The 17,595-nt window shown below is 47.9% G+C and overlaps 1 protein-coding gene and 1 long non-coding RNA gene across 2 annotated transcripts in view; one reads left to right on the top strand and one right to left on the bottom strand.

Moving 5' to 3' along the window:
* Positions 1 to 17,595, top strand: part of DLGAP2 (DLG associated protein 2) — a 970,849-nt gene that overhangs the window by 929,502 nt on the left and 23,752 nt on the right. The window contains exons 9-12 of the mRNA NM_001346810.2: positions 1,200 to 1,549; positions 2,614 to 2,655; positions 9,404 to 9,489; positions 11,085 to 11,500. Of these exons, the coding sequence (NP_001333739.1) occupies positions 1,200 to 1,549; positions 2,614 to 2,655; positions 9,404 to 9,489; positions 11,085 to 11,500 (894 nt within the window). The remainder of the gene's footprint in view (positions 1 to 1,199; positions 1,550 to 2,613; positions 2,656 to 9,403; positions 9,490 to 11,084; positions 11,501 to 17,595) is intronic.
* LOC124901870 (uncharacterized) lies at positions 8,686 to 11,142 on the bottom strand. The gene is made up of 2 exons (XR_007060783.1): positions 10,964 to 11,142; positions 8,686 to 9,905 (listed from the first exon to the last, which is right to left on the bottom strand). It is a non-coding gene; the product is annotated as an uncharacterized LOC124901870 (long non-coding RNA).

Consider the following 17,595-nt stretch of genomic DNA (forward strand, 5'->3'; position numbering starts at 1 on the left):
AAGCACTTTTATCAGCTCTTCCTGTGCACTAAAGGAAAATAATTGACTGTAACGGACAACCAATTCCTGTTGAGGGAGAGTGTTAGGGAGTTCATCCTCTCTATAAAAATAAGTTATAGCCTGAGTCCAGGCCAAGGTGCCTCATGCATTTTTGGTAGGTTCTAAGAGTTATTTAATACAGTCATCATCTCCGGATGCATTTATTTTGCTTTGGTGGCCTGTCCAGCTGTACAGCCGGTGGTACAGAATGCCCCATGCAACTCGAGTTTGGGAGGAGACTGGCTGGTGACGGCCACAGGTGAGCGTGGCCTGGCCCAGCTCAGATGCATAGAGCTGGCCCCTTTCCGGTGGTCTTCCTACAACTTAAACCTATGGAGCCTGTACTTATAGGGAAGCAAGTAAGTTTCTGCTATTATATATTTTCTCCGTTACAGAAACAGTAGCTATTCGTTATAATGATTTTTAGAAAAACACACAAGCCCAAGAGCAGACAGTGCCCATCCTGTCACTCAACAGCCGCGATTAACATCTTCAGGTGCTGGTGACCTCTTCTCACACACAGGTTTCCTGTACAAATAGATTCCATCTTGACCTATGCATAGTTTAGCATCCGGCGTGCTTCTGAACCTAGTGTGATAGAATCAGCATTTTCCACGATGACATGACCTGCGTAGAAATGACGCCATGCCTGTGCGCTGTCCTGCGGGGACACACCTTGCCTAGCTGTGTCTCTGCTGCTGGGTTTGCTGGTATTTTTAAATGATGCCATGCCTGTGCGCTGTCCTGCGGGGACACACCTTGCCTAGGTGTGTCTCCGCTGCTGGATTTGTTGGTATTTTTAAATGACGCCACACCTGCGCACTGTCCTGAGGGGACGCACGTTGCCTAGCTGTGTCTCTGCTGCTGGATTTGTCGGTATTTTTAAATGATGCCACGCCTGCGTGCTGTCCTGCAGGGACGCACCTTGCTTAGCTGTGTCTCTGCAGCTGGGTTTGCTGGTATTTTTATAATCCTGCACTGTTACAGGTATATTCATGTGTGCTGTCTCACTGTCCCCTCATTTCACGCTATTTTTTTAGGCTAGACGTCCAGGAACAGACTTGCTCCGTCAACCACAGGGCATGGGCGTGGGGAAACAGTAGACCACAGGCTGACGGGGAAGAACACGCCTGTTGACTTGGGACTTTCTTTTCTTACAGCTGTCTCATATACAAATTACAAGAAAACGCCCCCACCGGTGCCCCCTCGGACCACCTCCAAGCCTCTGATCTCGGTGACGGCGCAGAGCAGCACCGAATCCACCCAGGACGCCTACCAGGACAGCCGCGCACAGAGGATGTCCCCGTGGCCCCAGGACAGCCGCGGCCTCTACAACTCCACGGACAGCCTGGACAGCAACAAGGCCATGAACCTCGCGCTGGAAACGGCCGCTGCCCAGCGCCACCTGCCAGAGAGCCAGAGCAGCTCTGTGCGGACCAGCGACAAGGCCATCCTGGTGTCCAAGGCGGAGGAGCTCCTCAAGAGCCGCTGCTCCTCCATCGGGATTCAGGTAGCTGCTCTTGGCCGCCCGTCAGGGCCTCGCTCCACTCAGTCCTGCCAATAGCCTAGAATAAGCCAAAACCCAACCAGCGGCCCTGGGTCCTTAGCACTGACTGTAACCCCAGCAGGGCTGTGGAATCTGAGAGCAGGGCTGTGCGTTCGCCTTGCAGACCTGCCAGCGCAGTGAGTAGGTGGGAGACCCCCGAGGTGATGCGGACCCCAGTGCAGGGCTGAAGGAAACCCAGGGGTTCCAGCTCCCTGTCCCCTGCCACCCTGAAAATACACTCCGGGCCACTTGTTTTCCAAGGGCCAAAGGCTGCCTAGAGAGTATGGAGATAACACTGTTTTGATGCTTTAAAGGGGAGGGTTTCTGTTGAAGTCTGATTTTTCAAAAGCTTTTCGGTATTGTGGCCAAAGAATTGAGTGGGGAAACCAAAAGGTGCTGGGAATGAAGAGGTAAAAGGAAGGGCATGCTCTCCTCTCTACAGAAATTGGACGTGCTCACAGCAACTTCAGGTGCTGGCAGGCCCCTCAGCTGGGGTCACAGATGTTGCATCCATGGTTTCAGACCACAGACGGTTGACCCGCCGTCCATCTGGGCCCCCAGATGTCTACCCATGATATAGACGTGGCAGACGGTTCCTTTCCCCGTGAATGGAGAGCTCTGGCCGGCTCCTGCCCACGCTGCACCTCCCTCTGCAAGTCTGTTTTAGGTGCAGTGTTGTGCACCCAGGGAGGCCGGGAGATTGTCCTGTGATCTGGGTCAGGTAGCGCATCCCTCCGGGATCTGGCGGACGTGGTTGAGCAGGGCTGGCCGTCAAGCCCTCTGCCAACACGGCCCACCTCCTGCTTCCTTTTACCCCTTCATTCAGCCTGCGTTCCTCGGAGCTTTAACAGTCAGATTCTTGATTGCCGCTGGGGCGGCCCAGGGAGGAGGGTGAGTGGAGCGTGCTGAGAGCCGGGCCCGTGCGGCGCTGGTAGCTAGGCATGCGGGCGGAGAGAGCAGGGGAGCCGCCCGCTGGTCCAGGGCCTCCGAACCAGGTCTCCACACTGTGGCTTCATTGTTTTGTTTAGGATTCTGAATTCCCAGAGCATCAGCCATACCCAAGGTCAGATGTAAGTACCGAAATGTGCTCCAAAGCCGCGTCCGCATGACTTTCATTTTCTCTCCCTTTTTTGGATGTTCATGCGACCGCTCTTGTCGCCTCTGTCCTGATTCTATGTGCCAGGCACTATGCTGGGTGCTCCCATCTGTCCCCCTTAGATGAGGACAAGGGGCTCACCAGGGTCCCTAACCTGCCTGCAGCCCTGGGCCTCGCTGGGCTCCGGCGCCGGTAAGCAGGAAAGCTAGGGTGCCATCGCCCGTCTCCGTCTCCGTCTCCAGGGTCACGTCTGCAGTAGAGACTGGAGAGGCCCCCAAATTAGCCAGGTGACTTCCCATTGCCAGACACTCCCACCCTCTCTCTTTTCTCCTCAGCCACCTCCCACAGGTGCCCTCCAGGATATCCACCCAGCCACGACTGAGGCAGTGCCAACTTCTAAGCACGTGCAGTACCGACTTTATCTGAAATGAGTGGGACATAATTTTGGAAACTCATACAGTTAAGTCAGCACGCTCGGCACAGTGCCGCCGCTTCCTGCCCCGCCCACAGCCAGGACCCCACACCCCTCCGTGGTCAGCCCTCTTCCGCTCCCAGCTCCCACCCCTGGCATGGCAGCCTCTGCTGAGTACAGGCTTCTCCTCATCCCCCCAGCTTCCCCTGCAAAGCTCAGCCTGTGCCTTTACCCCTTCCCGGAGGCCTCTCTGGACCCCAGCCCCACACACTGTGTCCTGTGAGAGGGAACTGCACCCCCAGCCTGTTGCCACCCTGCACCCAGCACTGTGCCTGGCACATAGGGAGTGCTCAGTAAATGTTGGGTAAGCGAGTGGACGGATGGGTCGCTGGGTGCGTGCTGGGTGAGGATGGATGCAAAGACAGGAATGTAGGTGGATGACGAAGTCACCTTTCATGGCAGTAAGAAAAAAAAACGCACAACATCCTGTGTGTTTTCTGTGCATCCTGTGAGCTGGCGGTCTCACAATTATCCAAAGGAAGTGAATTGAAAAGCTACAGAGAAAATGTAGTTGGAGCAGCTCCAGTGTCAGGATAAGGAAAACAGCCAAAGAATTGAAGCCACTGCAGGAGTAAAGGGGAGGAAAAGAAGGAATCGAGCAGATGAAAGACGGGTTCCTTCTTTCAGGGAGGCGTCAGGAGGGGAGCTGCAGACGGCAGCCTTGCCAGGGCAGGAGGTGACAGGCTGGGACAAGAGTGAGCAGGCTGTGGACAGGTGGCCACGTCCCTGCCAGGCACCATTTAATCCTTACAATAACCCTGTGTGCTGGTTGTTAATTGTGCCCAGACTATGGATGGGAAAACTGAGGCTCAGGGAGGGTCAGTGACTTGCCTAAGGGCTCACGGCCAAGGCCATGAGTGAAGGCAGCGGCCGAGACTGGAGCCTGCACTCCACTCCACCCCTCTCTGCTCTGCTTCTCAAAGAGGAGAAAATCCCAGAATGATTCCGTGCCCTCAGGAGCCTGCCCTGGTTCTGTTCCTGTTCTGGGACACAGGGCAGGTGTCACGCTGTTCTGCAGCTCATAGACAAAGCTGGCTAGCCCGTGTTCCACCAGCATTCAATGGGACTGGCTTCCGGGACCTTTGGGCACAGTTTTGTCTGAGTGCAGATAGCAGGAGAATCTGTGTTCTGCGAATGTCATTCCTACAAATGAACAGCGTCCACGTCACTGAACACATCTTCTGTGGAGCTCACGCCCTCTGTGAGTCACTGGCTCATGGAGAGACAGCTCCAGGAGGGTCCTGTCCCGGGGTGGGGGGTCCTGTCCCACAATGCAACTCCCTTGTTCACAGTGCATTGCATGACCTTTTACTATCAGGGTTTGAATTCAGGATTCTCATTATAATTACTGGGCTACGTCTAACGTGATCCCTAATGAGTGAGGGTCCTCAGCTCACACCTCCTATGGCCCCCGTCCTCCTTCCCTGCCCAGCTTAGAGCAGAAGCCAGCGGCAAGTCCCCTGTTCCTCAGATGTCTGGCCCCGGCCACCTGAGTCTGGCCCTTACAGCAGGACTCACAGACAGGTCTCATCACAGCTCCAGATTTGCAGGCCAGATGCCCGTAGGAGAGAATGGGCTCCAGCCTTGGCACTCATAGGCCAGTCCTAGGATAAGGAGGAGAGCTTGTGGGCATGGCTGAGCTACCTCGGAGACGTCCTCTGACCCGGTCTGGCCTGACCTCGCTTTTCTTCATTCCAATTGGACCATTTGTGTATTCACTTTCGTTTTTATCCTTTGCGGTTTGTCTCTCCTGCTAAGTTTTCCATTCTCTTTTGTGTGCATGTGTGTGTTTGGGGAACTCTGGGAAATGTTTACAGCTCCCAGATACTGCGGTTAGGAGGGACGGAGGCCTGGTCTAACATTCAGGGTCCTTCTGTCCCTGGTGCCTTGTGAATCCCACCTTTATAAATGAGATCAGTTTTTTTGTTGTTGTTTTTTATTTTTAATTTTTTTTTTTTTTTTGAGATGGAGTCTCACTCTGTTGCCCAGGCTGAAGTGCGTGGCACGATCTCAGGTCACTGCAGCCTCCGCCTCCACCTCCTGAGTTCAAATGATTCTCCTGCCTCAGCCTCCCGAGCAGCTGGGATTACAGACATGTGCCACCACGCCTAATTTTTGTATTTTTAGTAGAGATGGGGTTTCACCATGTTAGCCAGGCTGCTCTCAAACTCCTGACCTCAGGTGATCCACCTGTCTCAGCCTCCCCAAGTGCTGGGATTACAGGCATGAGCCTCCATGCCCAGCCAAGGAGATCAGTTTCTATTCTGTGATCTCACCAGGTTGTGAGAAGGCAGGGGCAGCCTGGAAAAGACTCTGCGGCTGTCCATTCTGAATGTCCTGCCTGTGATAAAAGTGTCTGCCTGATTCTCCAGGCACACAGGCAGCTGCTCTTCCTCATGGCTGCCCCAGAGCTCCAAGCCTCACAGGCAGCTGCTCTTCCTCATGGCTGCCCCAGAGCTCAAAGCCTCACAGGCAGGGCCGGCCACTCACCTGTAGCTCTGGGAGGCAGAGCACGTCTCAGAGGGAAATAAACAGGAGTTTGCATCAGATTCAGGGCACCTGCCCTGCTATGTGTGAGGTGTTGAAGGAAGAGCGGAAAATGAGCTTGTTGGGAGAGCAAAGATTACAGATTGGCACCCTGGCCCAGTATTACTAGTGAGCGGTTCCTGCTGCCAGCCCCGCCCACTTTCATTTTCTCAGCAGCCCTACAGAAGCTGGGCTCAGAGGAGGCTGGTTGGCTTTGACGCCGCTGCTAGCCTGGGACTGCATGGGAGGTGGGACAGTGATTTTGCTCATTCATCTTTTTTTCTTGCACCCATATATTTTTCAAAACTTTAAGAGATGAGGGCTTGCTGTGTTGCCCAGGCTGGAGTGCAGTGGTGCAATCAATCACAGCTCACTCCAGCCTCAAACTCGTGGGCTCAAGTGATCCTACCCCCTCAGCCTTGCAGAGCACTGGGATTATAGATGTGAGCCAGTGTGCTCCCACTGCAATTCTAGTCAGAATTTCCTTTGGAAAAGACTCTTGAGTTACCTTTCCATTGTATAAAATAATTTATTTTCTTTGTCCCAGACTTGCTTTTCTGTCTCACATGAAGCCTCTCTATGCCCAGGATTTCTGAAATTGATAAATACTTAGCTCCTCCTGGCCAAGTATGATTTTACCATGTCCCCTTCAGACTTTACCATCCAGCAATGGAGAACTTCATTTTACTTAGAAAGATTTCATAAAAGACAGCCAGGGTAAAATCTGCACAGTTCATCATATGCGTGTGCCTTTAATGTAATATACATACCACTATTCACGTGACCGTCCTTAAAGCTGGGATGAGAGAACAGGGAATTTGCATTTGCTGTGGACGAACCTACTTGAGTCAGGCCTCAGGCTGAGAGTTTTACATCAGTTAACTGAGGCATTGGGTGTCCCCTCTTTGAAACAAGGAAGCAAAGATTCAACAAAATTTAAAAGAGTTTCCTAAGAGTTGCATGGCCAGCAAGTAGCAGAATCTGACCAGCTCCAAAAACTGTATTTTTCAAATTCACTATAAAAAATAACAAAAATATATTAGAGGAAATTTGGAGACAGAGGAAGGAAGGAAAACTTCCTTTTACTTTTGTTATATTTTTCTTTTTCATGGTACACAAACATGCCTGTGACTGCGAGTGTCTCTATGCTTGTGCATGCCCCTGGTCATTGTTGTCCATGGCACCTGTCAACCTGTGTTCTTTAAAGTCTGTATTATAAGCATTCTTGAGGTTATCTTTAGAACCATCTTTATTTTTTAGAGACAGGGTCTCTCTCACTTTATTGCCCAGGATGTAGTACAGTGGTGCAATCACAGCTAACTGCAGCCTCAGTGTCCTGGGCTCAAGTGATCCTCCTGCCTCAGCCTCCCGAGTAGCTTGTCCCACAGGTGCTACCACTCAGCTAATTTCTTTTTTTGTAGAGATGGGGTCTTGCCATGTTGCCTAGGCTGGTCTCTAACGCCTAGGCTCAAGTGATCCTCCTGCCACAGCCTCCCAAAGTGCTGGGATTACAGGCATGAGCCACCATGCCCAGCTCCATTGTTTTCACTGCTGTGTAGTATTCCGTGTCACAAGTAAATCATGACTTACTGCACATTCCTATCCCACTGTATCACCCTCATTCTCCCCAGGTGCTACTTTATAAATAATGCTGCAATGAACACCTCACACACTGGTCAGAATTTAAGGTCCTTTGTTTAGGCTGGATTCCTAGAAATAGAATAAGTGAGAGAGACAAATATTCTCCACATTTTTATGATAAAAACGAGTGTTCCTTTTACAAAATATCTTTAAAAGTATTCATTTATTTCACTCATATCAGATTTGGCAATATCTACCAAAATTATAAAGTGCAAATACCTCTGACCCAGACCTCCCGTCTGGTGAATATATTCAGAGAAGTTTTCACACAAGTACAGACATGTATTTATATAGCAGCATCATTTATAATGGCAGAAAACTAGAAATAACCAAATTTCCCCTGCACTGAAGGCTCATTAAATGCACTAGGCTATACTCATAAAATGGAATCCTTTGCACTTAAAACACGAGGCAGCTCCATATGTACAGACATGGAATTTTAAATGTATTAATTGTATTACAATCCTTTGCGTAAAATAACACTGATCATGTTTATGTCGAGCAAGGTAAGGTTTAATAAAGTCGTGACCCACTTAACACTAGAAACGGGAATGGTAAATTCTGACAGGAAGGCCAGGATCTTCACTCAAGAATGTTCTTCCTCCTGTAGCCCGTCTCACCCAGCTATCAGAACACGCATCCCAGTCTAGGGTCAGCTTCTGCAAACACGCATCCCAGTCTCGGGACCGCTTCTGCGCCTGTCTTCAGAATTACACCCGGTGAAAGTGGACGTCTCTGTCCGTTCCCCTGGATCCACGGCGGCGGCCGAGAGCTCCAGGGTTTTCTCGCGCTCTGTCTTCTGTGCGGCACCCGGCTCTGGGGTCAGAGAGATCCCGGCAAGAGCCCTAGCCCTGACCCCAACCAGGGCGCGCTCCTGAGCAAGTCACCCCCCTCCTCTGATCCGCCAGCTCTCTCCTGGGGCTGGAAACATCCTTGGGGTTATTGTGTGGAGTACACGTGATAACGCTGGAACCTCAGCCTAGTGCCTGGCGCAGGGTACGCACCAAATAAGTCTTCGCTGTTACCATCAGTACCTCTCTTAGCCACAAATCTGAGCCAGTCCTCGTTGACACAGGCTTAACCTTAGGATAGTCACAAAGGGCAACTCAAATGTTAACGTGCAGCTCCTCTCTCTTGCCTCACAGGGGACAGGGTCAGAAATATTTCATGCTTTGCACCTTTTCCTTGTAGTGATCAGTAATATTTTTAAGAAGGGAGAGATTTTATAACTTAGCTATGACACTTCAGAGAGGGCTCAAAAGTCCTTTTGATACAATAGGTAATACTTTTCTGGAAAGAGGAATGACTGAGTGCCTGGAATCATATCAATGGCTTAACTAACCTTTGGTTTCACAGTTTTCCTACTTGGTTTGGTTTTGTTTTTTTTTTTTTAGAGAACGTACTGTACTAGAATTCCCTTGTGGGATAACTTCACATAGCTGATGATCATTGCAAGGCTTGTTGGGTTTGTGGGGACTTTTTGGCAAATACAGCCACAATCAGAATTCTCTGTGGAATACATGATTTCTGTTCTGATCTGACGTCACCCTGCTGGCCATCCTCTTAGCAGACGTGAGACAGCTCTATGGAGATGAAGGTGGAGAGTTTGCCTCTGTTTCTGATCAGTGCTGAAATTCCTTTCTGTGTCTTTCTGTACGTGGATGCAGCCATCAGTATAAGTCTTTTAAATCGCTTATTTGTTGTCATTAGCTGTGTTTGGTTCATGCTGTACTTTCTTCACCATAGGGCGTGATAAGAGCTTTTAAGTCCTGTTATAATGCAGTTCAACAACACCTATTTTTTGCCTGAGCTGAACTAAGCAGTTTTATTTGCATACATTTAGAAGACCAAACTGCAGCCTTGAGTTCAGGTAGTTATGTAAAATGTGATGAGACGCAGGAGTGATGTAATTACTCCAGTGTGAATGCATTTCCCTCTCTGCGGTTTTACTGGGTCAAGTGCACCGCTGCATTAATTAAACAAATGCGTAATTAATTACAGCAAATCCACAACAACAACAAAATAGTCCCTTGCCCAGGCCCCATGTTTCAGTTCTAAAATAAGACGTTCTCTGTTGAATTAGGTGGAAACGGCCACAGATTCTGACACGGAGAGCCGCGGTCTGCGGGAATACCACTCTGTCGGGGTGCAAGTGGAAGATGAGAAGCGGTAACTCAGCCCCTCCTGACACGCGGTGACCCCCGAGCGAGGGCTCTTTGTCAAAGGCCTGATGGAAGCTCCTAGATCCTGCCGGCCCTCAATCATGCCTGTCCTTGTGGAAACAGGGCCATACGTTTATACTTTTCCATTGATAACCCTCAAGTATGAATTAACACCCGCCTATGTCTTGTTTTTGCAAGAGGCAAGGGAGTAATTCTTTCCAAAGTAATTTATCACCTCTGAAAGCAGAGCAGCTGACGGCCTGAAAGTCAGAGTCCTTGATCCAAAGGAAAGAAGGACGGGCTGAGGGTGACGCCAATGCAGGCCTTACGCCTTGTCATGTTACACGTAAAACGATAGAAAGACAGCAAAGCACGTTCAAGGCCTTCATACACCGTGAAATTGTTTCACTTCAAAAATATTACCTAGAAACAAAAAATACAAAGTGATATCCATTAGTGTTATTTTTGTAACAAGGCAGGACGATCATTTTAGTTTATATTTAAAATAGCATGTATTGTCTATTTCATAAAAACAAATTTTGATGAGAATATTACATGGTGAGGGCTCAGCCAATGTGTGACAGGGACAGTGTTGGGTGGCCTCCCTCATCAGGGAGCGTTTTAGCACCCACCCTATGGAGATTTTGATTGCAAAGAAATTCCGACCCCAGCTTATGGCTTCCCCAGTTTCCAAGAGACCTCCTAGAACCTGGCCATCTTCTGCACCTGGGAGCCGGGCAGGCTGCCTTCCATCCTGCTCTGTGGCTCAGTGTCCCTCCCTGTGCCCCCAGCAAAGGGAACACGTGGCAACGTCACTAACCAGCTGCATGCACAGCTGTGTGCTTCTATGGGTTCAGCCTGCAGAGCCACAGGGATGGCTGCAGTAGCTGGGACTATGTAGACACAGAGAGACACACACACACCACACAGGCACACGATACAGAGCATACCCACGTGCACACACACGCTCACAGTGTTCTCACCCAGCATACTGGTCTCCAACTGTAAGCCCCCTCCTATCAACTATTTTGGTGATCAGCTATGTGGAAAAGATGACATTAAAATATAGACAGTGAAAATGATTTTCCAACACCTGCCAAAGTCAGAATTTGGAGTCATTATTTTGCATACAGGGGTTAATGGGGACATATTAAATTATCCAGACAGAAGTGGCTCAGGCCCTGAAACACAATTTGGAAGCCACTACAACTCAGTATGATGTTACTATTGTTTACATAAAAGAAGCAACCCATGGCTTTGGCTGCATAAGCTCGTAGCATATTTCTGAAAGGGAGGTAGCCATTTGCTAATGGTGGTTTCAAGAAACACGTTAACTCTCATTGTATCATTCAATAAACTTAAATCCCAAGTGGGTGTTATTTAGGCCTGAGACTTAGGCAGATGTTAAAGTATAATGATTTGCAAAACCAAATGTTCTTCCACAGACAAAACACCAGCATATTTCACAAACAAAACACTACCTGCCCTTGAGCCGCCAGGCTGTTGAGCTCAGGTGCGCTCCTGACAGGCGACATGTAGGACTTTGTTGCATGAAGTCCTCTCAGAAGGGCTACCATCTGTCTTCCTTCCCTCCTTTTGCAGACACGGACGTTTTAAACGTTCTAACAGCGTCACGGCCGCCGTCCAAGCTGACCTGGAGCTGGAGGGGTTCCCAGGCCACATCACCACGGAGGACAAAGGCCTTCAGTTCGGCTCATCCTTCCAGCGGCACTCCGAGCCCAGCACCCCCACCCAGTACAGCGCGGTGAGAACTGTACGGACCCAGGGGCTCTTCAGCTATAGAGAAGACTATCGGACCCAAGTGGACACCTCCACCCTGCCCCCTCCAGACCCCTGGCTGGAGCCCGCCATCGACACGGTAGAGACTGGGAGGATGTCTCCGTGCCGCAGGGATGGCTCGTGGTTTTTGAAGCTGCTGCACGCAGAGACAAAGAGGATGGAAGGCTGGTGCAAAGAGATGGAGAGAGAGGCGGAGGAGAACGACCTCTCGGAGGAAAGTAAGAGCTCAGGCTTCCCTAGGGCCTCTTAAATATCATTTCTCAGTAATGCAAATATGCACATCACAGCATTAGTGGAGAAAAGTTCCTCCCTTTGGTATTCAAGTGAAGGGAAATAAATGTGCTTTCTAGTATATCCCCCTCAATTCTAAGAAAAGATATAAATTACATGAAAAGAGAAGCAGTCACTACGATATCGAAGGAAAATTGTGTGTGTTTTGTCAGGTAAGTTGAATAGAAAATCAACTGTGCTAACAGTTTTCTTGGGAGCATAGTTGATCTCATATTCCACTTAGCAGTTCTCTTGAATTTTGGCAAAAACTTAATTTGCAGCATTTATGTTATTTTCTAGAATTGTTACCAGCTCATGCTTTACAAGAAAATGCCTTGGCATTATGCCAAAGAGAAGTCGATGGTAAGTAAAAGATTAAGTTAGTTAACTGTGTGATGATGTGCTCAAAGGTCTCACTCCTGGGTGGAATGGGAAGGCCGTGTCATTCCTCTACCAGAGTCACCACCAAAGGTCTCACTCCTGGGTGGAATGGGAAGGCCGTGTCATTCCTCTACGGGAGTCACCACCAAAGGTCTCACTCCTGGGTGGAATGGGAAGGCCGTGTCATTCCTCTACCGGAGTCACCACCAAAGGTCTCACTCCTGGGTGGAATGGGAAGGCCGTGTCATTCCTCTACGGGAGTCACCACCAAAGGTCTCACTCCTGGGTGGAATGGGAAGGCCGTGTCATTCCTCTACGGGAGTCACCACCAAAGGTCTCACTCCTGGGTGGAATGGGAAGGCCGTGTCATTCCTCTACGGGAGTCACCACCAAAGGTCTCACTCCTGGGTGGAATGAGAAGGCCGTGTCATTCCTCTACCAGAGTCACCACCAAAGGTCTCACTCCTGGGTGGAATGGGAGGGCCGTGTCATTCTTCTACCAGTGTCACCAGGGCAGATCTGTCCCAGTCCCGTTGGTACTCACCTATGCCTCTGCTTCTCCACATGGAAGGGGACAGCCCCTTATTCTCCGCCTTTCTCCCATCTGCCTAGAGAAACCTACCATCAAGACCGTTCAGGCCAGGCACGGTGGCTCACGCCTGTAATTCCAGCACTTTAGGAGGCTGAGGCGGGTGGATGGCCTGAGGTCAGGAGTTACAGATCAGCCTGGCCAACATGGTAAAGCCCCATATCTGCCAAAAATTCAAATGAGCCAGGCGTGGTGGCGGGTACCTGTAATCCTAGCTATTTGGGAGGCTGAGGCAGGAAAATCACTTGAACCTGGGAGGCAGAGGTTGCAGTGAGTCAAGATCGTGCCATTGCACTCCAGCCTGGGCAACAGAATGAGACTCTGTCTCAAAAAAAAAAAAAAAAAAAAAAAAGAGCTCAGAAGCAGCACCCATTATAAATTGCTGTATTTGATTGACTTCTAAGCTAATACCACCTGTCTTTGTTTATAGACCAATTACATAATTGCACAATACCTACAACTAATGCTTATGTTTAACACAGTACAATTTCACAAAGCTATTTCTGAATGTCTTGACAAATTACGGTCTAAGTATTTTTCTTTTTCTGTGAATTTATTTGTACATTGACAAGATCATTATAAATGCTGAACTTCAAAAGGATAGCTGAGATCCTTGGGAATTTGTCCCTGACATTTCATTTCTAGATGGCTGTTTTAATAGGGCATTCACTAATCCTAGAAATAGAAGTGCAACAATGAAACTACATTGACTATGACTTACAGAGAATAACGGCCTTGGAGCCTCGGCAGTCTGAGAAAATCAATGGCGTGCTGATTTTTTATTGTTAAAACTTAAGGTCTGAACCTATGAAGAAAGAAAGACATTGCCTTTAATTGACTAAGCCTGTTCTTCCACATTTGTCTCTTAATCATCAAATCCCACCTATTCTTTACAGGAGGTGACGATGGACGCCGAATGTTGGGGAGATGCTGCCTTCCACGTGACCCACAGTCCCCGCAGCACGGCTGCATGGGGCTGGTGCAAGTCAGCACAGCCGTGTTCCGATCGTTCACACGGCGTTTGCATTTCTCATGGTTAGGGTACATTTAACAGAGTAACTTCACAATTTTGATATCTAAAAATCACTCATTTTCTGCAGCATCTTCCACCCTTGTTAGTATATGCCTCAACTTGGCCAAATTGTCTTAATTATAAAAGGGATTTATAATCTTTAGCACAAAGATAAAACACAGAAAAACTGCATTGCCTAAGTTGACGCCAAATTAAATTGCCAGCTCTGGTTTTGTGCATGCTGACAGGGGCAGCGTAGGGCTGGGGTGCCTTCCTTCCAGGATGAGAGCAGGTGATGAGACCTGCATGTCACTCAATCAAGCTGTGTTTTCTACACCATGTGTTTCCTCAAAAGAACACCTTTGAGGAGGAGGAGAGAGGAAAAAATTTAGGAGAGAGGAAAAAATTTACAAAGAGGTCATGTTTGTTTGTCAGGGCTTAGCCCATAAAATGCCTATAAAATTGTATCCTATTATCATTTGAGTTTATCCCATTCGGGACACATTCAGAAAGTTGTAGTCTTCTTTGGAAGGTGTAAGACATTGAGACATTAGCCATTACTGTGTTGATAACACAGAGACTACTTCTCCTGTCATCATTTTCCATGTTTAGTGCATACTTTCAATTTCATTTTTTCAAGGATTATCATTTTTGAAAAGATATCTTTTAAAAAAAAATAGAATCCTCAGCTGGGCACAGTGGCTCACACCTGTAATCCCAGCACTTTGTGAGGCTGAGGCGGGAGGACTGCTTGTGCCCAGGAGTTTTAGACCAGCCTGGACAACACAGTGAGACCTTGTCTCTACCAAAAAAAATAATAATAATAATAATTAACATTTTAAAAAGTAGCCCGGTGTGGTGGCACATGCCTGTAGTCTCAGCTTCTCAGGAGGCTAAGGTGGGAGGATTGCCTGAGCCCCAGAGGTGGAGGCTGCAGTGAGCCGAGATCTCACCATCACTGCAGAACAAGACCCTGTCTCAAAAAAGAAAGAAAGAAAGAATATCTAGACCAGTTCTCCCTGAACACATATGATATGTCAGGCCCTGTGCCGAATGCACTGCAGACCTCATTAATGCTCATCCCAATGGACTAGGTGAGTAGTATTGTAAGCATTCTACAGATAAACTGGGGCTCTGAGAGATTAAGATCTTGCCCCAAATCACAGAATAGTAGCGGTGACCCGGGACTGGGAGTCACGGCCCTCTGACGTTGAAGGCTCTGCCTTCCCAGCAGTGATCTGGGACTGGGAGTCACGGCCCTCTGACGTTGAACGCTCTGCCTTCCCAGCAGTGATCTGGGACTGGGAGTCACGGCCCTCTGACATTGAAGGCTCTGCCTTTCCACCCACGGTCCAAAGGCATCAAGTCAAGAAGTTCCCTTATGGGAAGCACCCCCTCCACTGCCTGCTTCCATGCTGGATGTGCATCCCATCCTTTCACCTGCTGTTTCAGACAAGGGTGTGTCCCATCCCTGACCCTTCACCTCATTCTGGTCCTCCACGACTGTGACCCACGTGTGGTCCACAGAGTCCCTCAGCTGCGAAGACAGAGGCCAAGGTTCTCCCGCGTTAGCCATTGGAAAATAAGTGGCAGGAGCTGTAAGGAGGCAAATTATTTCTCAAACCAAGAATGAAAGTCCCTACAAAGGGCTTTAGTGCTGAGGCCCTGTCATGGTAAGTCCTGGTTTTCTGTCACTGGAGGCATTCCAGAATATTCTATAAATTATGCCATAAAAATACTACATACAAAATTGAATTTGATGACGTATAGGGACCCAAATCAACAGTAAGATTCCAAAATCTTAGGATATATAGTATTTTTTTTTTTTTGAGAGGGAGTCTTGCTCTTTCTCCCAGGCTGGAGTGCAATGGCACGATCTCAGCTCACTGCAACCTCAGCCTCCCGAGTTCAAGTGATTCTCCTGCCTCAGCCTCCCAAGTAGCTGGGACTACAGACACGCACCACAGCACCTGGCTAATTTTGTATTTTTAGTAGAGATGGAGTTTCACCATGTTGGCCAGGATAATCGTGAACTCCTGGCCTCAAGTGATCTGCCCCCCTTGCCCTTGCAAAGTGCTAGGATTACAGGTATGAACCACCATGCCCAGCCAGGATATCTAGTATTTCAGTGTCACTTACCTTATTATTAGGCATCTGAAAAACTATTTTTCTTCAGTAAGGTAGGGTGGAAAATTAATTTTTGCTGACTCCAAATTATATTCCCCTAAACATATGTTTGGTTTCGTGGTGGGATTTTTGTTTTGTTTTGTCTTGTTTTTTACCTTTTTTGAGCCATCAGGATCCTCCTCTGGACTCTCTCAGTGATGTCTACATTCCATAGATATTTATTGATTACTTACGACGAAGCAAGCCACTCTCCGATAGACAAAAATGATGCAACAATGAGTAAGACATGGTAAAGGACCTAACTGATTACCTAACAGTGGGAGAAGACCAGGTACAGGAAGTGGAAACTGTTGAGTGTCATAAGAGAAGTACAGATAAAGTACTTAAAAACTCAGAGGTCTCAGCAATGCTTTCACCTGGGAAGATTCTCAGAAGGCTTCCTGGAGAAGGTGGCACTGTGCTGGGCCTTGACACGCGGTTGGATTTGGTCAAGGTGGTGGATGGTGGTGACTGAAAAGGAGATTCAAGAGTCCACGCAGAGGCAGAGAACTGGGGAACAGAGGCCCCTTTGTCTCCTTCCTCTGGAGGAAGATCTTCATGTCAGCACTGCCCTTCATCCTGCCTGTGGGGAGGGTCTGTGCTACCTGACCTCACAGAGCCTTCTGTGGCCGGGGCATTCCCCATACCCTGGGGGATGATGGAACTTGCCTAAAGCTCCGCACCTCTGCTGTCATTTGAGATTTTAGGCTCCTTCAATGAAGTGGCCACATTTGACATTTATCATCCACAGACAGTGCCTCACACATCGCCTGGCACAGAGTGCCAGACAATAGGAATGGGGAGGAAGAGAGGGAAGCAGGAGGATGGGCTGTCTTAGCGAACAGGATGCCACACTCCTGCTCACACCTTTATAAAAGCAGAACATCTAGACTCCCAGAGAATCACCTCGCCATCCTCAGTTATGGAGGCTGGGAGTAGCTTCAACACTTCCCATTCTATAGACATCCACTGAAATGATCCTGATTTTCCTTGTCTTTGCTCCACTATATATATATATATATATATATGTGTGTGTGTGTGTGTGTGTGTGTGTGTGTGTGTGTGTGTATACACATATATGTGTATATATATATGTGTGTATATATGTGTATATATATATGTGTGTATATATATATATATATATATATATATATATATACTTTTTTTTTTAAGACGAAGTCTCACTCTGACACCAAGGCTGGAGCGCAGTGGCGCGATCTCAGCTCACTGCAACCTCTGCCTCCCAAGTTCAAGCAATGCTCCTGCTTCAGCCTCCTGAGTAGCTGGGATTACAGCTGAATGCCCCTACACCCGGCTAATTTTTAATCAGAAAATGTAACTGCATTGCTATAAACTTTGAACACAAGGAACAGAGAATGGATGAACTTGATACTTTTTGTGATTTTCTTAATTTCTTAAATTGCCCAGATACCTTCATCTTTTTGTGGACAGATGTCAAAACACTTGTTATGCCCCTCATCTGTGTGTTTTGTCCATAAAACTAGCACAATATTCATCAAGTTCAGATATTTCCCTAAATGTTTAAAAGGTAAGATGATAACCTTAATTTCCAGTCCTAATTTTAGGAGCAGATACAGGGTTATTGGTTATGGTACTTTTTAAAATAAAGATTAAATTAAATGTCTTATGAGACTAAAACTCTGATCTCTGAATATTGAAATTTCCATTATATGAAGTAATTTTTGCCCAAAATATAATTTCATAACACAGTTCCCCGAACTGATTGAATGAATCTAGATTCAGTCAGTCTTCTATGGTTAATAAAATCTATAGTGAACCCAAAGAAATGCTGGTCTGCATAAAGTCACATTAATGCAGGCTGCCTATTGTTAATAAAAGTACTTTCAAGATATTAAATCATTAGTAATGTTTTA

This window comes from Homo sapiens, chromosome 8 (genome assembly GCF_000001405.40).
Source record: "Homo sapiens chromosome 8, GRCh38.p14 Primary Assembly".
Classification (NCBI taxonomy): Eukaryota; Metazoa; Chordata; class Mammalia; order Primates; family Hominidae; genus Homo; species Homo sapiens.